General features: G+C 41.8%; 1 non-coding gene across 1 annotated transcript, besides 1 other annotated feature; it reads left to right on the top strand.

Annotated features, from left to right (window-relative positions):
• Nucleotides 2,981-3,181: a silencer, noted in NCBI's record as "peak7256 fragment used in MPRA reporter construct". NCBI's record gives its function as "represses an SCP1 promoter by STARR-seq MPRAs in K562 erythroleukemia cells {active_cell/tissue: K562}" and the evidence as "EXISTENCE:reporter gene assay evidence [ECO:0000049][PMID:32103011]".
• On the top strand, nucleotides 14,075-14,157 carry MIR1299 (microRNA 1299). Its single transcript, NR_031629.1, has one exon. It is a non-coding gene; the product is annotated as a microRNA 1299 (primary transcript).
• The last annotated feature ends 6,276 nt before the right edge of the window (nucleotides 14,158-20,433 follow it).

The following is a 20,433-nucleotide window of genomic DNA, read 5'->3' as shown; positions in this document are numbered from 1 at the left end:
GCGCGGTGCCAGATATTGGATATGTAGGTGCCTAACCTTTGCTTTTCTGATTTCTTACATTTTATTTCATAAAAATCAGCCTAACCACGTTGTAGAGAGGGATGATTTCCTTCCTTTGTTTTGAAAATTTGTGCATGCCCAATGCTTACATTGTGCGGTTTAATGTTGCTTCAGTTTTTTTTTTTTTGTTTGTTTGTTTCTATTTTTGCCAGACTTCCGAAACTCTTAAAACTTGTTTGTGGTCAGCATAGCAAGGAACATGCTTTAGCTTTGAACAACTCTTTAACATGAAAAAATGCACTGACATTGTTTTTAATGTAACATAGGCTAGAATTTTTCTATGTTTGCCCATGCTGAGAATTGTCCCACCCGGCTGATGTGTTCACCTCTTCAGCTTGGATCCTGTTGTGTATTTATTTACAAACATCAATTGCCTTCAAGCCATCATTTCTGCTGTATGTTTTGCAGCCTTCTATAGTAGATACACAACAGATAATGTGAAGAGAAAAGACATAAGAGGAGGAAGGTAATGAGAGACTTTGTCAAGGTTGTAAACTTCTTGGTTTCTTTGAAGAATTTGTTGCCTTTCTAATAAGACAGTAAAGCAGAATTTTGTTACTGACAGCCTAAAACCACTTAATCTCAGGTGAATGCATCACTTGCCAAGCTGTTGGAATGCTATTTGTGTTTTGTTGCACGATTTTTTGGTTGTTTATTTGGTTGGCTTTTTGGAAGACAAATTTGGAAAGGGGACCTACACAGAAGTGCTGACCCACCCACATTCCCTTATTATCATTACAGACAAGAAGGAATTAGCAGAGCTAAGAATGGAGTGAAGAAAGGCAGTGTGATAAGCACCAGCAAAGAGTTGAGAGCTGTTGCTCTCTAAATTATTATTTGATTATTTTAAAAGTATGGAAGTTTTCTAGTCACTGAAGAAAGGAGGGGAAAGTGCACTTATTTTTATATGGAGTTACTTAACTACCACCTAAACACATATGTGGAAATTGTTTTTGCTGGTGCAAAGTATTTTAATTAGCAAGAATTCATATATTGAGATTATAATTAGAGAGCTCAATTTATATATTTGCTATCCTGCTCAAGCCTGACATGGCAAAAAATAAAAATAAAAAGAAAACCAAGTTCCCTCCAAAATATATAGCTTCAAAATAAAAAACACTGGAAAGTTTGCTGTGATAACTATTTTGTACTTTTGTACAAAAAACCTAAAGAACAAATTACCTGAAGAACAATTTGCTAAACATGAGAAATTGCTCCCTTTGAGTATATACAGATAAGATAGGAAGAGTGTTCAGACCAGAATATTATAGTTTATATTGAAGATAATATTCAGTTGACTCATAACTAGTAACCACCATTCATGATAACATTTCAGCATTTCCAAGGTGCCAAGTGTACTGATTTTTAAAAATATATTTTAGAAGGAATTTAGAACTGGTGTTTTTAATGAAAACCAGCATCTCTGATGTTGCAACATGTATGTGAAATGGGTGTTACATCTATCCTGCCCTTTAACTCCACTGTTAACAAAGTGGCTGAAAATAACAGTAAGAAAAAATCAGTCTAAGGGAGAAAGCCACTAATGCTCTCAATTCTCTCTCTCTCTCTCTCTCTCTGTGTGTGTGTGTGTGTGTGTGTGTGTGTGTTAAGGGGGATGTCGGGAGGTGGTCTTAACTCTTGAAAGAAAACTTCTTTGTATAGGAAGCATATTTTGGTTTAGGTACAATGATAAGAAAGTTTAATTTTATAATCCATAAGACCAGATACCTTCAGAAATGATTTTTCCTGTGGGATTTCTATGACTGGTATTCTGACTAGTGTGAAATGACAGCTTTGGATGTCTATATCTACACCCATCAAAACCTCAGAGCTTCATGCACTGCTATAACTTTTCTGTTAACTCTGGGTAAATTCGGAGGTTGGTACAAGGAATAATTTTAACTTCAGATTTTACAGCTTGTTTATGTTAAGGGCAGAAAGATCTACTTTTCAATGATCTGTATTTTAAGATATTGACTTTTCCTGGTGCTATTTTATGATTATGGAGAAAATAGAATTCTTATTAGAAATCTCAACTCCGAATTAAGAGTAGATGTTTTGATACTTGTCCTGCTGTGGCCTGAGACTTGGAATCATGAATTAAAAGAGACCTTGCTGTTTATCTACAGATTAGAACACACAAATAAACATCAGTGTAACATCCTCATTAGCATTCTGGTAGTTACATGTACTTATTCCAGAGCAAAATTAATATATGATAAGAAGTGGAATATTTTCTGTTGTTATCTAGGATATTAAGACAACAACCTTCCTTAGAAAAGAAACAGCGTATTATGAGGACAGTGGATGCTACAACGTTATTTGCCTTCAAGGCATTGCAAACAACTGGAATCAATTGTATAACCTTCTCAAGCACAAGCCAACAGTGAAATGAGAGTCATTTATCTGAAACAGCAGGCAAGAGCTTCATTGGTACACTCGGAAGGTGGCTCACTAACCCTGCCGAAGTTTTGCTTCATCTGATCAGGGCATAAATGTTTCATTGGCCCAATAACCAAGGTCTTAGAGTTTCACAGTGTTTTCTCTCCAATAGCTAATACAGGGAGCATTGCTGATATCCTGCCCCTGGTTGCCAAGGCTGAAATCAAACGTGCTTTGAATAATACTATAAAAACTTTGAAATCAATCTTTGCTGTAGGAGCCAATGTTCAACTGTGGGCTCTATACAAAGCCGCTTAAGGTGGGAGGGAGCAAACTTTTCTAGTTGGTTTTAGGTAACAGAAACAGATGTCTTTATTGGATTTGTCTGGAAAAAAAAGTAAGGAAAATCCCAACATTATCTGTTCTGGTCAAGAATTATAAGGCTCAGTCCCATTTTATTTCTGTCCTCCTTTGGATCCTTTTTTCTTATTCTTGACTCTATACATGGAGAAAAAGTTCAAGTGCATCTAAAGCAGTAATGCTGGGAACTTGCCAACTTATTCCCATGATGCTACTGTTGGTTATAAAGCATTTTGAGGATTCTTGTGTTCAGAGATAGTGATAAGCCACAAGAGGAAGTCAGTCTTGCTGGTGTACAGCTGCATTTTGGGCCCATGTATAGAAGAGCTAACATGGATTTCAGAGTCTTCCAGGTGTTTGAAATCCAGGGTCTGCTCTCAGGACCTGTGAGGTCTTAGATAAGTTGCTCAATCTCTTTGAGCCTCAGTTTTCTGAGTACAGTGGCACATAACTCACAGGACTGCGGTGTGGATGAATTGCGATGATGTGTATGAACCCAGCTCAGGGTCTGCTTTCCTTCTTTCTTCCCTGCCTCTGAATTTACACCAAGCTGTACTTCTGAGGTCTGACTCCTGAGAGGCTAGACATACAGTGAAGCTTGATGCTTGCTAGAAACTGAGGGGCTAGACTTGAGTGTTAGGGAACCTGGGAATGACATCTGTCATTCATCCGGGAAGGCCGAGGAGGAAAGCGAGGCAGGGCAGCAGAGCAGGAGGTGGTGCCCATAGAGGCCACTTTTGGACTGGAGCCTGCTCAAGGCACTTTAGTGCTGAGTCATTTGGGGCCCAAGGTAGGGGCAGATAGAAGAGAAGGACGGCAGTTATCGCCTAGTCACAGGGGCAGATAGAAGAGAAGGATGGCAGTTATCGCCTAGTCACAGGGGCAGATAGAAGAGAAGGACGGCAGTTATCGCCTAGTCACAGGGGCAGATAGAAGAGAAGGACGGCAGTTATTGCCTAGTCAGGAATTTAACAATCTCTATTTCCTTTCAAACCTCGTTTCATCCCTTCCATCCCAGTCAAATTCACAGGCAATTAGACTTCCTCCTGCATCTCAGAGCAGGCCTCTGCATCATCATTTCTCCTCTGCAAGTGTATCTTCTTCGGGCACGTCGGAAGGTCTTAGTGAACCTGCGGTATTTAGGGACTGGATCCTCTTTCCTCTTTATTGTCAAAGTTGTGGCTTGCCGAGGTCAGGACAGAGTATGATTATGACATGTTAGCAATCGTCACCTCTCATTTTTAAGTAAATATACTTTTATGCAGTTTGAGCTTTCATTCATGTCATTTATTAATTTGTTCTTTCGTTAACACATTCATTTGTGGAGCATTGGCCTATAAAAGCGAAGAAACACTTCCTTAGCATTAAGGAAGGACAGAAAACAAAATGCACAGAGGCACATGCTTTGTTTTGTATAACTTTGAAAGTTTCTAAATTAAAATAATGTCTAACTTGGAAAACCAAAACCTATCACTGAGATATTTTCATAATCTAAAAAGTCAGTTTCAAAAGAACTTCCAAAATGTTTTAAAAAATGATTATCCTTAAGAATAATGATGTAGCATTCCAAGGTTTTAGTGTTCAATCAGCATTTATTACCACCTGCTGGGTGCCTGAGGCAGGACATTTGTAATGAGAGCCACAAACATGAATTGAAAATCCGCTGCCCATAGGTTCACAGTTCCTGTCAAAGCATAGACCCCCCTGTAGATACAGCCCCCTGTCTAAGATGCCCTGTGTTCTGGGCGAGAGGATACACTAGGTCTGCAGGTATATCTGGTGGGCAGAACAGGAAAGGTGTCACTGAGGAGGTGCTATGTGAGTTAGTTGTGAAAAATGAGTACGGGTTTATGAGGCAGAAATGAGAGGCACTTTGCTGAAGTTACAACTCCTACCAGGCACTCGTTTGAATTTTCTGTTTCATTTGCTCTTTGGAGGTTGCTTGTTGGTACACTTACATCTTCTATGCCAGTCTTAAAAGAGAGGAGTGAGTGTGTGTGTGTCTGTGTTTAGTATTTTTTGCAGAGTTTCTTTGTGTTTCCAAGCTTACATTAGAGCTGAAGCTTGTCAGAGTTCTCATAACAAATGCGTGATTGAACTAAATTCCAACCTGCCGCCTCTGGCGTTGGAGACTTACAGCACCTCAGTGCATTCATGGGGTGTGCTCTACCCTCTACCTTCGTGATTTATTTAAAGACCAAATATAATGAATAACAATTCTTAGGCTTAAACCTATAGCAGGCGTAGGAAATAGTTCAAACCTTCTGACATACATGAACAAATGCAATCTTCAAAAACTACTGTTTTTGAATCTGCGTGAATGTACTGAACTCGTTGCTACCTTCATTTAAATGTGATGTATCAAAAGTGCTTTGTAAACTGTTAAATTCCAATGTTGACATTGTTATAGACACACTTTATTAAATACTGGATGATGATTTTATAAAGTACAGGGTTTTTAGCTGTGAAATTATTCTAAAATATGTAGACAAAATTTTGAATAATCTTCCCATTTTGAACACAATGATTGGTTTTAAAATTCCCTTGATTTATATGTTTGTATACTGTGGATTCTCAATTGAGTGAATTAGTGTCTTTGCAATATAGTAAGATTTTGGTACAGTTTTTTTTTTTTAACTCATCCACTTTATTTTATTTATTTTTTTTCACTTTCTCTTTCTTTTTTTTATTATTATACTTTATGTTTTAGGGTACATGTGCACATTGTGCAGGTTAGTTACATATGTATACATGTGACATGCTGCTGCGCTGCACCAACTAACTCGTCATCTAGCATTAGGTATATCTCCCAATGCTATCCCTCTCCCCTCCCCCCACCCCACAACAGTCCCCAGAGTGTGATATTCCCCTTCCTGTGTCCATGTGATCTCATTGTTCAATTCCCACCTATGAGTGAGAACATGCGGTATTTGGTTTTTTGTTCTTGCGATAGTTTACTGAGAATGATGATTTCCAATTTCATCCATTTCCCTGCAAAGGACATGAACTCATCATTTTTTATGGCTGCATAGTATTCCATGGTGTATATGTGCCACATTTTCTTAATCCAGTCTATCATTGTTGGACATTTGGGTTGGTTCCAAGTCTTTGCTATTGGGAATAGTGCCGCAATAAACATACGTGTGCATGTGTCTTTATAGCCACATGATTTATAGTCCTTTGGGTATATACCCAGTAATGGGATGGCTGGGTCAAATCTTATTTCCAGTTCTAGATCCCTGAGGAATCTCCACACTGACTTCCACAATGGTTGAACTTGTTTACAGACCCACCAACAGTGTAAAAGTGTTCCTATTTCTCCACATCCTCTCCAGCACCTGTTGTTTCCTGACTTTTTAACGATTGCCATTCTAACTGGTGTGAGATGGTATCTCATTGTGGTTTTGATTTGCATTTCTCTGATGGCCAGTGATGGTGAGCATTTTTTCATGTGTTTTTTGGCTGCATAAATGTCTTCTTTTGAGAAGTGTCTGTTCATGTCCTTCGCCCACTTTTTGATGGGGTTGTTTGTTTTTTTCTTGTAAATTTGTTTGAGTTCATTGTAGATTCTGGATATTAGCCCTTTGTCAGATGAGTAGGTTGTGAAAATTTTCTCCCATTTTGTAGTTTGCCTGTTCACTCTGATGGTAGTTTCTTTTGCTGTGCAGAAGCTCTTTAGTTTAATGAGATCCCATTTGTCAATTTTGTCTTTTGTTGCCATTGCTTTTGGTGTTTTAGACATGAAGTCCTTGCCCATGCCTATGTCCTGAATGGTAATGCCTAGGTTTTCTTCTAGGGTTTTTATGGTTTTAGGTCTAACATTTAAGTCTTTAATCCATCTTGAATTCATTTTTGTATAAGGTGTAACGAAGAGATCCAGTTTTTAATCTATCAAGGAAAAGACTAGATTAGTAGGATCTCATTTGTTTCATAGCCCATTATTTGAAGGATGATTTAAGATGATAGGAAATACTGACTCACCTTTTCTAAAAAGACAACTGCTTTTCTTATTCTTTTAAGTTCAAATTTGTCTTGTCTCCTTTTGATTAATTAAAACAAGTTATCAAAAGCCTTAACAGAAAATATTATTTATTGAATCAGAAGAGAAACAGGAAATATTGTGCTTTCTTGGGCCTGTTTCCTATACCCCAATATCATAAGAATTGTTGTTGCTTCTATAATGTTCAGCTTCAAATTCTTTTGCTTAATCAATCCAAATGAATTACCTGAATTTTCTCCTCTTGTTCAAAATGGAACCACATTCATCCACCTACCCCCAGCCATAGGACTGTTTCTTTTATTCCGATAGTTTGTGATATCCTTGACTTCACAGCAGAAAGCTGTGAATCTCCCAAACCCCTTCACTCAGGTCCCATGGGGACTGCCCTCTAAAGTCTCTTCAGTCTTCTTTCTTTGAATGTTCATGGCTACCTTGTCGTTTAGACTCTTATCCCTGACTGTATGAGATCCCTCAGGTCTTCCTGCCTGTGGCCATGCCTAATTTATACCCTTCCTAAAATGTGATGTGATCATGTCACTGCCTTGCTTAGAAGCCCTGCACTGGCGTCCAACACGTGTAGAATCAAGTGCTTGCTGTTTAACATGGTCTACCCAGTCCTCCAGATTCTGGCTTCCAGTTATTTCTCAGCCTCAAAAAAGCACCTAACTCTCCAAACATATCAAATAGCTTGTGCCCTCCTGCCTCCCGTTCACACCTCCATTCCTTCCCCTCTACCTGGATGCTCCCCCCTTCATCCGCCACCCCGCTGTAAGCTCCCATGGATTGACTGGTGCTTGAGTGTTTTATTGCACTTTGGACCTCCCGTCTCTCACTCCTGGCTTCTGTCTGTCTACCTGTCTTGACCGGCCACTTGCACTGCGTCTGGCTTATCTGCCTCATTCTGGTTGACAGTTTTATTTGTTAGCTTCATATCTACTAGTTTTCTCAATTATTTATCAGCCTCTCCACACCAGGCTCCTTGCCCCGTATTTGTAAGCTGCTATTGGCTTGAGGGTGACTGTGCCTTTCTAATAAAACTATTTTATAGACTGATAGTTACAAGGGTATAGTAGAACAGAAATTAATCTACCTTTGAGTGTATTTCAACATATCTAGTGATCCATGAATATTTCTTCTTATTATTATCATTATTGTTATTTTTAAATAGACGATCAGGAAGGCAGAGGCTAGGTCACCAATGTGAACTTAGGCTTTCATCTTTATGACGATATTTGGGATCACTGCAAGTATTCTGAATTTTAAATGGCATTCAGTGATTTGATAAAATAGGAATTTTGTTACTCTGAACTGGGTAGTGTTTCAGCAACTGGCTACTGTGTCATTATTTCTATAAATTCAAAATGTAGAAGGAACATTTACCTTTTAACAAGGGAGTATCCCAGGTCTCAGTTCTCAACCGTTTTTCTAGGTGCACTCATGCTTCTGTGATCTCATGAAGCCCAATGGCATTAAATTCTATGTATATGTGCATGGTCCATGAACACATATTTCCAGCTCCTACCTCTCCTCTAAAATTTAGACTCATATCTAATTATCTACCAATTATCACCAATTGGAAGACTAATAGACAACTCAACTATCACACATCCATAAGGGAAATCTTGATCCTCCACCTTCAACCCCTGGGCCCAACACTCCTCGGTCATCTCCATCTCAGTAAATAGCACCTCCAGCGTACCAGCCATTAGGCCAGAAAACTTGCCTTGACCCCTCTTTGTTTCTTGCACCTCATATCAGCATACACTGTTGAACTGTATTAAGAATCTGAGCTTCCCTTGTCACACCCATTGTGTACAACCTGCTTCACTTTACGTCATTGTTTTCATAGATTACCAAAATAGCCTCCTAACTCCTCTCCTACTTTCTCTTTCTCCCTGTACTTTGTTCTTCACTGAGCAACCAGAGTAAGTCTTTATTTTATTTTTTTTGAGACAGAGTCTCTGTCGCCCAGGCTGGAGTGCAGTGGTGCAATCTGGGTTCACTACAACCTCTACCTCCTGGGTTCAAGTGATTCTCCTGCCTCAGCCTCCCAAGTAGCTGGGACTACAGGCATGCACCACCAAGCCTGGCTAATTTTTGTGTTTTTAATGGAGATGGGGTTTTGCCATGTTGGCCAGGCAGGTCTCGAACTCCTGACCTCAGGTGATTCAGAGTAAGTCTTTTTAAAGCATAAGGAAAATAATGTTTTCATCTGCTTAAAATCTTCCATGGCTAGGAATGTTTTAAACCATCTTGTCCCCTGACACTTCTCTGATGTCTAGTCCAATCAGTCTCCCCTGTATTACTGCAATCTTCAAAGACACCAGGCAGATGTGCTTCTGCATCAGGGCCTTTGCATGTGTGGTCCCCTTTGCCTGGAATGCTTTCTCATTAGGAAACAGGATGGCTTACTTCCTCTCTTTTTTTATTTTTATTTTATTATATTATTATTATACTTTAAGTTTTAGGGTACATGTGCACAACGTGAAGGTTTGTTACATATGTATACATGTGCCATATTGGTGTGCTGCACTCATTAACTCGTCATTTAGCATTAGGTATATCTCCTAATGCTATCCCTGTCCCCTTCCCCCAACCCACAACAGTCCCTGGTGTGTGATGTTCCCCTTCCTGTGTCCATGTGTTCTCATTGTTCAATTCCCACCTATGAGTGAGAACATGAGGTGTTTGGTTTTTTCTCCTTGTGATAGTTTGCTGAGAATGATGGTTTCCAGTTTCATCCATGTCCCTACAAAGCACATGAACTCATAACTTTTTATGGCTGCATAGTATTCCATGGTGTATATGTGCCACATTTTCTTAATCCAGTCTATCGTTGTTGGACATTTGGGTTGGTTCCAAGTCTTTGCTATTGTGAATAGTGCCACAATAAACATACGTGTGCTTGTGTCTTTATAGCAGCATGATTTATAATCCTTTGGGTATATACCCAGTAATGGGATGGCTGGGTCAAATGGTATTTCTAGTTCTAGATCCCTGAGGAATCACCACAGTGACTTTCACAATGGTTGAACTACTTTACAGTCCCACCAACAGTGTAAAAGTGTTCCTATTTCTCCACATCCTCTCCAGCACCTGTTGTTTCCTGACTTTTTAATGATCGCCGTTATAACTGGTGTGAGATGGTATCTCATTGTGGTTTTGATTTGCATTTCTCTGATGGCCAGTGATGATGAGCATCTTTTCATGTGTTTTTTGGCTGCATAAATGTCTTCTTTTGAGAAGTGTCTGTTCATGTCCTTCACCCACTTTTTGATGGGGTTGTTTGTTTTTTTCTTGTCAATTTGTTTGAGTTCATTGTAGATTCTGGATATTAGCCCTTTGTCAGATGAGTAGGTTGCAAAAATTTTCACCCATTTTATAGGTTGCCTGTTCACTCTGATGGTAGTTTCTTTTGCTGTGCAGAAGCTCTTTAGTTTAATGAGATCCCATTTGTCAATTTTGGTTTTTTTTTTGTTTTGTTTTTTTTTTTTTTTTTTTTTTTTTTTTTTGAGACGGAGTCTCGCTCTGTCGCCCAGGCTGGAGTGCAGTGGCGGGATCTCGGCTCACTGCAAGCTCCGCCTCCCGGGTTCACGCCATTCTCCTGCCTCAGCCTCCCAAGTAGGTGGGACTACAGGCGCCCGCCACTACGCCCGGCTAATTTTTTGTATTTTTAGTAGAGACGGGGTTTCACCGTTTTAGCCGGGATGGTCTCGATCTCCTGACCTCGTGATCCGCCCGCCTCAGCCTCCCAAAGTGCTGGGATTACAGGCGTGAGCCACCGCGCCCGGCCCAATTTTGGTTTTTGTTGCCATTACTTTTGGTGTTTAAGACATGAAGTCCTTGCCCATGACTATATCCTGAATGGTATTGACCAGGTTTCCTTCTAGGGTTTAGGCTCAAAATAAAGGGATGGAGGAAGATCTACCAAGAAAATGGAAAACGAAAAAAGGCAGGGTTTGCAATCCTAGTCTCTGATAAAACAGACTTTAAACCAACAAAGTTCAAAAGAGACAAAGAAGGCCATTACATAATGGTAAAGGGATCAATTCAACAAGAAGAGCTCACTATCCTAAATATATATGCATCCAATACAGGAGCACCCAGATTCATAAAGCAAGTCCTGAGTGACCTACAAAGAGACTTAGACTCCCACACAATAATAATGGGAGACTTTAACACCCCACTCTCAACATTGGACAAATCAACGAGACAGAAAATTAACAAGGATACCCAGGAATTGAACTCAGCTCTGCACCAAGCAGACATAATAGACATCTACAGAACTCTCCACCCCAAATCAACAGAATACACATTTTTTTCAACACCACACCACACCTATTCCAAAATTGACCACATAGTTGGAAGTAAAGCACTCCTCAGCAAATGTAAAAGAACAGAAATTATAACAAACTGTCTCTCAGACCACAGTGCAATCAAACTAGAACTCAGGATTAAGAAACTCACTCAAAACCGCTCAACTACATGGAAATTGAAAAACCTCCTCCTGAATGACTACTGGGTACATAACGAAATGAAGGCAGAAATAAAGATGTTCTTTGAAACCAACGAGAACAAAGACACAACATACCAGAATCTCTGGGACACATTTAAAGCAGTGTGTAGAGGGAAATTTATAGCACTAAATGCCCACAAGAGAATGCAGGAAAGATCCAAGATTGACACCCTAACATCACAATTAAAAGAACTAGAAAAGCAAGAGCAAACACATTCAAAAGCTAGCAGAAGGCAAGAAATAACTAAAATCAGAGCATAACTGAAGGAAATAGAGACACAAAATTTGTCCCCGTTAGAGAGGGACAAACTTTCAAACAACAGCGAGAGTGTCCTGAAATCCTCTGTTATGGACAAACATTCAGACCCTCGTCCCTGTTTTCTGGAAATCTACGTGAGGGAGAAACACTCAGAACCCAGCAGCAGTGTTCTGGAATCCTATGTGAGGAACAATCATTCAGACCCCAGCAGCAGTGTTCTGGAATCCTATGTGAGGAACAAACATTCAAACAACAATGAGAGTGTTCTGGAATCCTATGTGAGGGAAAACATTCAGACACATGTTGCAGTGTTCTGGAACCCTATGTGACAGAGAGATGTTTGGACAACAGCAGCAGCGTTCTGTAATCCTATGTGAAGGGACAAACATTCAGACCCTCGTAGCAGTGTTCTGGAATCCTATGTGAGGGATAAACTTTCAGACCATAGCAGAAGTTTTCTGGAAACCTATGTGAGGAACAAACATTCAGACAATCATAGCAGTGTTCTGGAATCCCATGTGAGGAACAAACATTCAGACCCTCGTAGCAGTGTTCTGTAGTGCTGTGTGAGGGACAAACATTCAGACAATCGTATCAGGGTTCTGGAATCCTATGTGAAGGCCAACATTCAGACCCTAGCAGCAGTGTTCAGGAATCCTATGTGAGGAACAAACAATCAGACCACAGCAGGTGTGCTCTGGAATCCTTTGTGAGGAACAAGCCTTTAGACCCTTGTAGCAGTGGTCTGGAATGCTATGTGAGGGACAAACATTCAGACAATCATAGCAGTGTTCTGGAATCCTATGTGAGGGACAAACATTCAGACCACAGCCGCAGTGTTCTGGAATCCTATCTGAGGGACAAACTTTCAGACATTTTTAGCTGTGTTGTGGAATCCTGTGTGAGGAACAAACATTCAAACAACAGCAGGAGTGTTCTGGAATCCTATGATATGAAAAAACATTCAGACCCTCGTCGCACTCTTCTGGAATTCTATGTGAGGGAGCAAAATGCAGAATCTAGCAGCAGTGTTCTGGAATCCTATGTGACGGCAATACATGTAGACCCCATCAGCATGTTCTGGAATCCTATCTGAGGGACAATAATTTGGACCCCAGCAGCAGTGTTCTGGAACCCTATGGTAGGGCAATTATTCAGACCCTCATAGCAGTGTTGGGGAATTCTGTGTGAGGGACAAAAAATTCAGACCCTCATAGCAGTGTTCTGGAATTCTATGTGAGGGATAAACATTCATACCAGAGCAGGAGTGTTCTGGAATCCCCAACGAAGAACAAACATTCAAACCCTTGTAGCAGTGTTCTGGAATCCTATGTGAGGAACAAACATTCAGACCCTCGTGTTAGTGTTCTGGAATCCTATGTGAGTGACAAACATTCAAACAACAGCGGGAGTGTTCTGGAATCCTGTGTTATGGGCAAACATTCAGAACCTCGTTGTAGTGTTCTGGAATTCTGCATGAGGGAGAAATGCTCAGAACCCAGCAGCAGTGTTCTGGAATTCTATGTGACAGACATACATGTAGACACCAGCAGCAGTGTTCTGGAATCTTATGTGAAGGACAAACATTCAGAAACCAGCAGCAATGTTCTGGAATCCTATGTGAGGGAAAGTCATTCAGACCTAGTAGCAGTGTTCTGGAATTCTGCTTGAGTGACAATCATTCAGACCATCATAGCAGTGTTATGCAATCCTGTGTGAGGGACAAACATTCAGACACATCGGGAGTGATCTGGAATCCCCTGTGAGGAACAAACTTTCAGACCCTCGTGGCACTGTCCTGGAATCCTATGTGACGGACAAACATTTCCACCCCACCAGCTGTGTTCTGTAATTCAGTGTGAGGGACAAACATTCAGAACCTCGAAGCAGTGTTCTGGAATCCAATGTGAGGGACAAACGCTCATACAATTGCAGTATTGTTCTGGAATCCTGTGAGGGAAAAACAAACAACAGCAGCTGTGTTCTGGAAACCTATATTATGGACAAACATTCAGACACTCGTCACAGTGTTCTGGGACCCTGTATTAGAGACAAACATTCAGACAATCATAGCAGTGTTCTAGAATCTTTCGTAAGGGACAAACATTCAGACCCCAGCAGCAGTATTCTGGAATCCTGTGTGACGGACAAACATTCAAACAACAGCAAGAGTGTTTTGGAATCCAATGTTATGGACAAACGTTCAGAAACTCGTCGCAGTGTTCTGGAATTCTATGTGAGGGAGAAACACTCAGAACCCAGCAGCTGTGCTCTGGAACCGCATGTGAGGGACAAACATTCGGACCACAGCAGGATTGTTCTGGAATCGTATGTGAGGGACAAACACTCGGAACACAGCAGGAATGTTTTGGAATCCTATGTGAGGGACAAACATCCAGACCCTCATAGCAGTGTTCAGGAATCCTATGTGGGGGAGAAACATTCAGACCACAGCAGGAATGTTCTGGAGTCCTAAGTGAGGAGCAAACATTAAGACCCTCATGGCAGTGTTCTGGAATCCTACGTGAGGGACAATCATTCAGACCCACGTAGCAGTGTTCTGGAATTCTGTGTGAGGGACAAACATTCAGACCCTCGTAGCAGTGTCCTGGAATCCTGTTTGACAGACAATCATTCAGACCACAGCAGGAGTGTTCAGGAATCCCCTGAGAGGAACGAACAATCCGACCCTCGTAACGGTGTTCTGGATTCCTATGTGAGGGAAAAACATTCAGACCCTCATAGCAGTGTTCTGGAATCTTAAGTGAGGGACAAACATTCAGACACTCATAGCAGTGTTCTGGAATCCTATGTGAGGGACAAACATTCAAATAACAGCGGGAGTGTTCTAGAATCCCATGTTACAGAAAAACATTCAGAAACTGGTCACAGTGTGCTAGAATTCGATGTGAGGGAGAAACACTCAGAACCGAGCATCAGTGTTCTGGTATCCTCTCTGACGGACATGCATGTAGACCCCAGCAGCACTGTTCTGGAATCCTATTTGAGGGACAAACATTCAAACAACAGTTAGAGTGTTCTGGAATCCTGTGTTACGGACAAGCATTCACACCCTCGAGGCAGTGTTCTGGAGTTCTACTTTAGGGAGAAACATTAAGAACCCAGCAACAGTGTTCTGGATCCCTATGTGAGGGACAAACATTCAGATCACAGCAGGATTGCTCTAGAATCATATGTGAGGGAGAAATACTCAGAACACAGCAGGAATGTATTGGAATCTGATGTGAGGGACAAACATGCAGGCACTCGTAGCAGTGTTCAGGAATCCTATGTGAGGGACAAACTTTCAGACCACAGCAGGAGCGTTCTGGAATCCCATGTGAGGGACAAACATTCAAACAATAGTAGCATTGTTCTAGAAACCTACTTGAGGGACAAATATTCAGATTCCAGCAGCAGTGTTCTGGAATCTTATGTGAGGGACAAACTTTCCGGCCACAGCAGGAGTGTTCTGCAATCTTATGTGAGGAACAAACACTCAGAACACAGCAGGAGTGTTTTGGAATCCAATGTGACAGACAAACATTCAGACACTTGTAGCAGTGTTCTGGAATCCTATGCGAGTGAGAAACACTCAGAACCCAGCAGCAGTGTTCTGGAATCCTATGTGACGGACATACATGTACACCCCAGCAGCAGAGTTCTGGAATCCTATGTGAGGGACAAGCATTCAGACCCCAGCAGCAGTATTCTGGAATCCTATGTGAGGGACTGTCATTCAGAAACTCGTAGCAGTGTTCTGGAATTCTGTGTGAGAGACAAACATTCAGAACCTCATAGTAGTTTTCCAGAATCCTATGTGACGGACATTTAGACCCTAGCTGCAGTGTTCTGGAATGCTATGTGAGGGACAAACACTCAGAACACAGCAGGAGTATTTTGGAATTCTATGTGAGGGACAAACATTCAGACCCTCGTAGCAGTGGTTCAGGAATCCTATGTGAGGTACAAACATTCAGATTCTTGTAACATTGTTCAGGAATGCTATGTGACGGACAAACATTTAGACCCCAGTAGCAGTGTTCTGGAATCCTTTGTGTGGGACAAACATTCACACCCTCGTAGCAGTGTTCTGGAATCCCTTGTGAGGGACAAACACTCAGAACCCAGCAACAGTGTTCTGGAACCATATGTGAGGGACAAGCATTCACACCACAGCAGGATTGTTCTGGAATCCTATGTGAGGGTCAAACTCACAGAACACAACAGGAGTGTTTTGGAATGCAATGTGAGGGACAAACATTCAGACCCTCGAAGCAGTGTTCAGGAATCCTATGGAAGGGACAAACATTCAGACAACCGTAGCAGTGTTCTGGTGTCCTATGTGAGGGACCAGCATTCAGACCCTCGTAGCAGTGTTCTGGAATTCTGTATGAGGGACAAACATTCATACCCTCTTAGCCGTGTTCTGAAATCCTTTGTGAGGGACACACATTGAGACCACAGCAGGAGTGTTATGGAATCTGCTGTGAGGAACATTCAGACACTCGTAGCTTTGTTCTGGAATCCCATGTGATGGACAAACATTTATACCTCAGCAGCAGTGTTCTGGAATCCTATGTGAGGGACAAACTTTCAGAGCATCATAGCAGTGTTCTGTAATCCTAGGTGAGGGATAAACATTCTGACAATCGTAGCAGTGTACTGGAATCCTATGTGAGAGACAAACATTCAGACCCCAGCAGCAGTGTTCTGCAATGCTATGTGAGGGACAAACATTCAAACAAGAGCGGGAATGTTCTGGAATCCTATGTTATGGTCAAACATTCAGAATATTGTCTCAATTATCTGGAATTCTATGTGAGGGAGAAACACTGTGAACCCAGCAGCAGTGTTCTGGAATCCCATGTGACTGGCATACATGTAGACCCCAGCAACTGTGTTCTGGAATCCTATGTGAGGGATAAACATTCACACCCCAGCAGCAGTGTTCTGGAATCTGATGTGACCAACAAACATTTAGAACCCAGCAGTGTTCTGGAATAATATGTGAGGGACAAACATTCAGACCCCAGCAGCAGTGTTCTGGAATCCTATGTGACCGACAAACATTTAGAACCCAGCAGCAGCATTCTGGAATCCTATTTGAGGGACAAACATTCAGACCCTCGTAGCAGTGTTCTGGAATATTATGTGAAGGCAAAATATTCAGACAATCGTAGCAGTGTTCTGGAATCCTATGTTAGGGACAAACTTTGAGACCCCAGCAGCAGTGTTCTGGAATCCAACGTGAGGGACAAACATTCAAAGAAGAGCGTGAGTTTTCTGGAGTCCTATGTTATGAACAACATTCATACCCTCATCGCAGTGTTCTGGAATTCTATGTGAGGGAGAAACACACAGAACCCAACAGCAGTGTTCTGGAATCCTATGTGACAGACATACATGTAGTCCCCAGAAGCAGTGTTCTGGAATCCTACTTGAGGGACAAACATTCAAACAACAGCATGAGTGTTTTTGAATCCTATGTTACCGACAAACATTCCGAACCTCGTCACAGTGTTCTAGAGTTCTATGTTAGGGAGAAACATTCAGAACTCAGCAGCAGTTATCAGCAACCCTGTGTGTGTGACAAACATTCAGACAATAGCAGGACTGTTCTAGAATTCTATGTGAGGGACAAACACTCAGAACACAGTAGGAGTGTTTTGGAATCTGATGTGAGGGACAAACATTCATACTGTCGTAGCAGAGTTCAGGAATCCTTTCTGAGGGCCAAACATTCAGAACACAGCAGAAGTGTTCTGGAATCCCATGTGAGGGACAAATATTCAGACCCTCGTAGCACTGTTCTGGAATCCTATGTGAGGGACCAGCATTCATACAATCGTAGCATTTTTCTGGAATCCTATGTGAGGGAAAAACAGTCAAACAACAGCGAAACTGTTTGGGAAACCTATGTTTCAGACAAACATTCAGACCCTCTTCGCAGTGTTCTTTAATCATATGTGGGGGACAAACATTCATACAATCGTAGCATTTTTCTGGAATCCTCTGTGAGGGACAAACATTCAAACAACAGAGGGAAAGCCCTGGAGTCCTAAGTAACAGAAAAACTTTCAGACCCTCATATCAGTGTTCTGAAATTCCAAGTGAGGGAGAAACACTCAGAACCCAGCAGCTGTGTTCTGGAATCCATTGTGACGGACTTACAAGTGGACCCCAGCAGCCGTATTCTGGAATCCTATGTGTGGCACAAACATTGAGACCCCAGCAGCCGTGTTCTGGAATCCTATGTGAGGGACAATCATTCAGACCCTCGAAGCAGTGTTCTGGTACTCTGCATGAGGGACAAACATTCAGACCCTCATAGCAGCGTTCTGGAATCCTATGTGAGGGACAAACTTTCAGACAATCGTAGCAGTGTTCTGGAATCCTATGTGAGCGACAAACTTTCAGACAATCGTAGCAGTGTTCTGGAATCCTATGTGAGAGACAAACATTCAGACATTGGTAGCAGTGTTCTGGAATTCTATGTAAGGGAGAAACATTCAGAACCTCGTAGCAGTGTTCTGGAATCCTGTGTGAGGGACACACATTCAGACAACAACAGGAGTGTTCTGAAAAACCCTTTGAGGAACAAACATTCATAACCTCGTAGCAGTGTTCTAGAATCCTGTGTGACAGACAAACATTATGACTCCAACAGCTTTGTTCTGGAACCCTTTGTGAGGGAAAAACATTCAGACCCTCGTAGCAGTGTTCTGGAATCCTGTGTGAGGGACAAACTTTCAGACACCAGCAGAAGTGTTCTGGAATCCTATGTGAGGGACAAACATTCAAAAAACAGCGAGAGTGTTCTGGAATACTATGTTACAGAAAAACATTCAGAACCTCTTTGCAGTGTTCTGGAATTCTATGTGAGTGAGAAACACTGAGAACCCAGCAGCAGTGACCCTATGTGAGGGACAAACACTCAGAACACAGCAGGGACATTTTGGAATCCTATGTGAGCAACAAACATTCAGAATCTCGTAGTAGTGTTCAGGAATCCTATGTGACGTACAAATATTCAGAACACAGCAGGAGTATTATGGAATCCTGTGTGAGGGACAAACATTCAGACTCTCATAGCAGTGTTCCGGAAACCTATGTGAGGGACAATCTTTAAGAGAATCTTTGCAGTGTTCTGGAATCCTAAGTGAGGGACATACACTCACACCCCAGCAGTAGTGTTCTGGAATCCTATGGGAGGGACAAAAATTCAAACAACTGCAGGAGTGTTCTGGAATCCTATGTTATGGACAAATATTCAGAACTTCTTCGCAGTGTTCTGGAATTCTATGTGAGGGAGACACACTCGCAACCCAGCAGCAGTGTTCTGGAATCCTATGTGAGGGACAATCATTCAGACCCTCATAGCAGCATTCTGGAATTGTGTGTGAGGGACAAACATTCACAACCTCATAGCCGTGTTCTGAATTCCTGTGTGAGGCACAAACATTCACACCAAAGCAGGACTCTTCTGGAATCCTCTGTGAGGAACAAACATTCAGACCCTCGTAGCTGTTCTCTGGAATCCTATATGACAGACAAACATTTAGAACTTCTCAACAGTGTTCTGGAATCCTATGTGAGGGACATTCAGACCCTCGTAACAGTGTTCTGGAAACCTGTGTGAGGGACAACCATTCAGAACCCAGCAGCAGTTTTCTGGAGTCCTAAGGGAGGAACAAACATTCAAACAACAGCGGGAGTGTTCAGGAATCCTATTTTATGGACAAACATTCAGACCCTCATCACAGTGTTGAGGAATTTAAGGTGAGGGAGAAACGCTTAGAACCCAGCAGGAGTGTTCTGGAGCCCTATGTGAGGGACAAACATTCAGACCACAGCAGGATTGTTCTGGAATCCTATGTGAGGGGCAAACATTGAGACTACAGCAGGAGTGTTTTGGAATCCTATGTGAGGGATAAACATTCAGACTCTCGCAGCATTGTTCAGGAATCCTATGCAAGGGACAAACATTCAGACCACAGCATGAGTGTTCTGGAATCGTATATGAGGGAAAACATTCAGACCCTCGCCGCAGTGTTCTGGTATGCCATGTGAGTGAGAAACATTGAGACAATTGTAGCAGTGTTCTGGAATCCTATGTTATGGACAAACATTCAGAACCTCGTCTCAACGTTCTGGAATTCTAGGTGAGGGAGATACATTCAGAACCCAGCAGCAGTGTTCTGGAATCCTATGTGAGGGACAAACATTCAGACCACAGTAACAGTGCTCTGGAATCCTTTGCTAGGGACAATTATTCAGACCCTTGTATCAGTGTTCTGCTATTAAGTGTGAGGGACAAACATTCAGACCCTCGTAGCAGTGTTCTGGAATCCTGTGTGAGTTAGAAACATTCAGACTGCAGCAGGAGTGTTCTGGAATCCCCTGTGAGGGACAAACATTAAGACGGTTGTAGCTGTGTTCTGGAATCCTATGTGAGGAATGAACATTCAGACCATCATAGCAGTGTTCTGGATTCCTGTGTGAGTGATAAACATTCAGACCAAATCTGCAGTGTTCTGGAATCCTATGTAAGAGACAAACATTCAGACCCTCATAGCAGTGTTCTGGAATCCTACGTAACGGACATTCAGATAATTGTAGCAGTTTCCTGGAAACCTCTGTGAAGGACAAACTTTCAGACCCTAATAGCAGTGTTATGGAATTCCATGTGAGACACAAACATTCAGACAATCCTAGCAGTGTTCTGGAATCCTATGTGAGGGACAAACATTCAGACCCCAGCAGCAATGTTCTGGAATCCTATGGGAGGGACAAACTCTCAGAAAATAGCAAGAGTATTTTGGAATCCTATCTGAGGTATAAACACTCAGAACC

The sequence above is a fragment of the Homo sapiens genome, chromosome 9, assembly GCF_000001405.40.
Source record: "Homo sapiens chromosome 9, GRCh38.p14 Primary Assembly".
NCBI classification, from domain to species: domain Eukaryota; kingdom Metazoa; phylum Chordata; class Mammalia; order Primates; family Hominidae; genus Homo; species Homo sapiens.
Note: the sequence above shows the minus strand (reverse complement) of the source record. Positions and strands in the feature narration are given on the sequence as shown.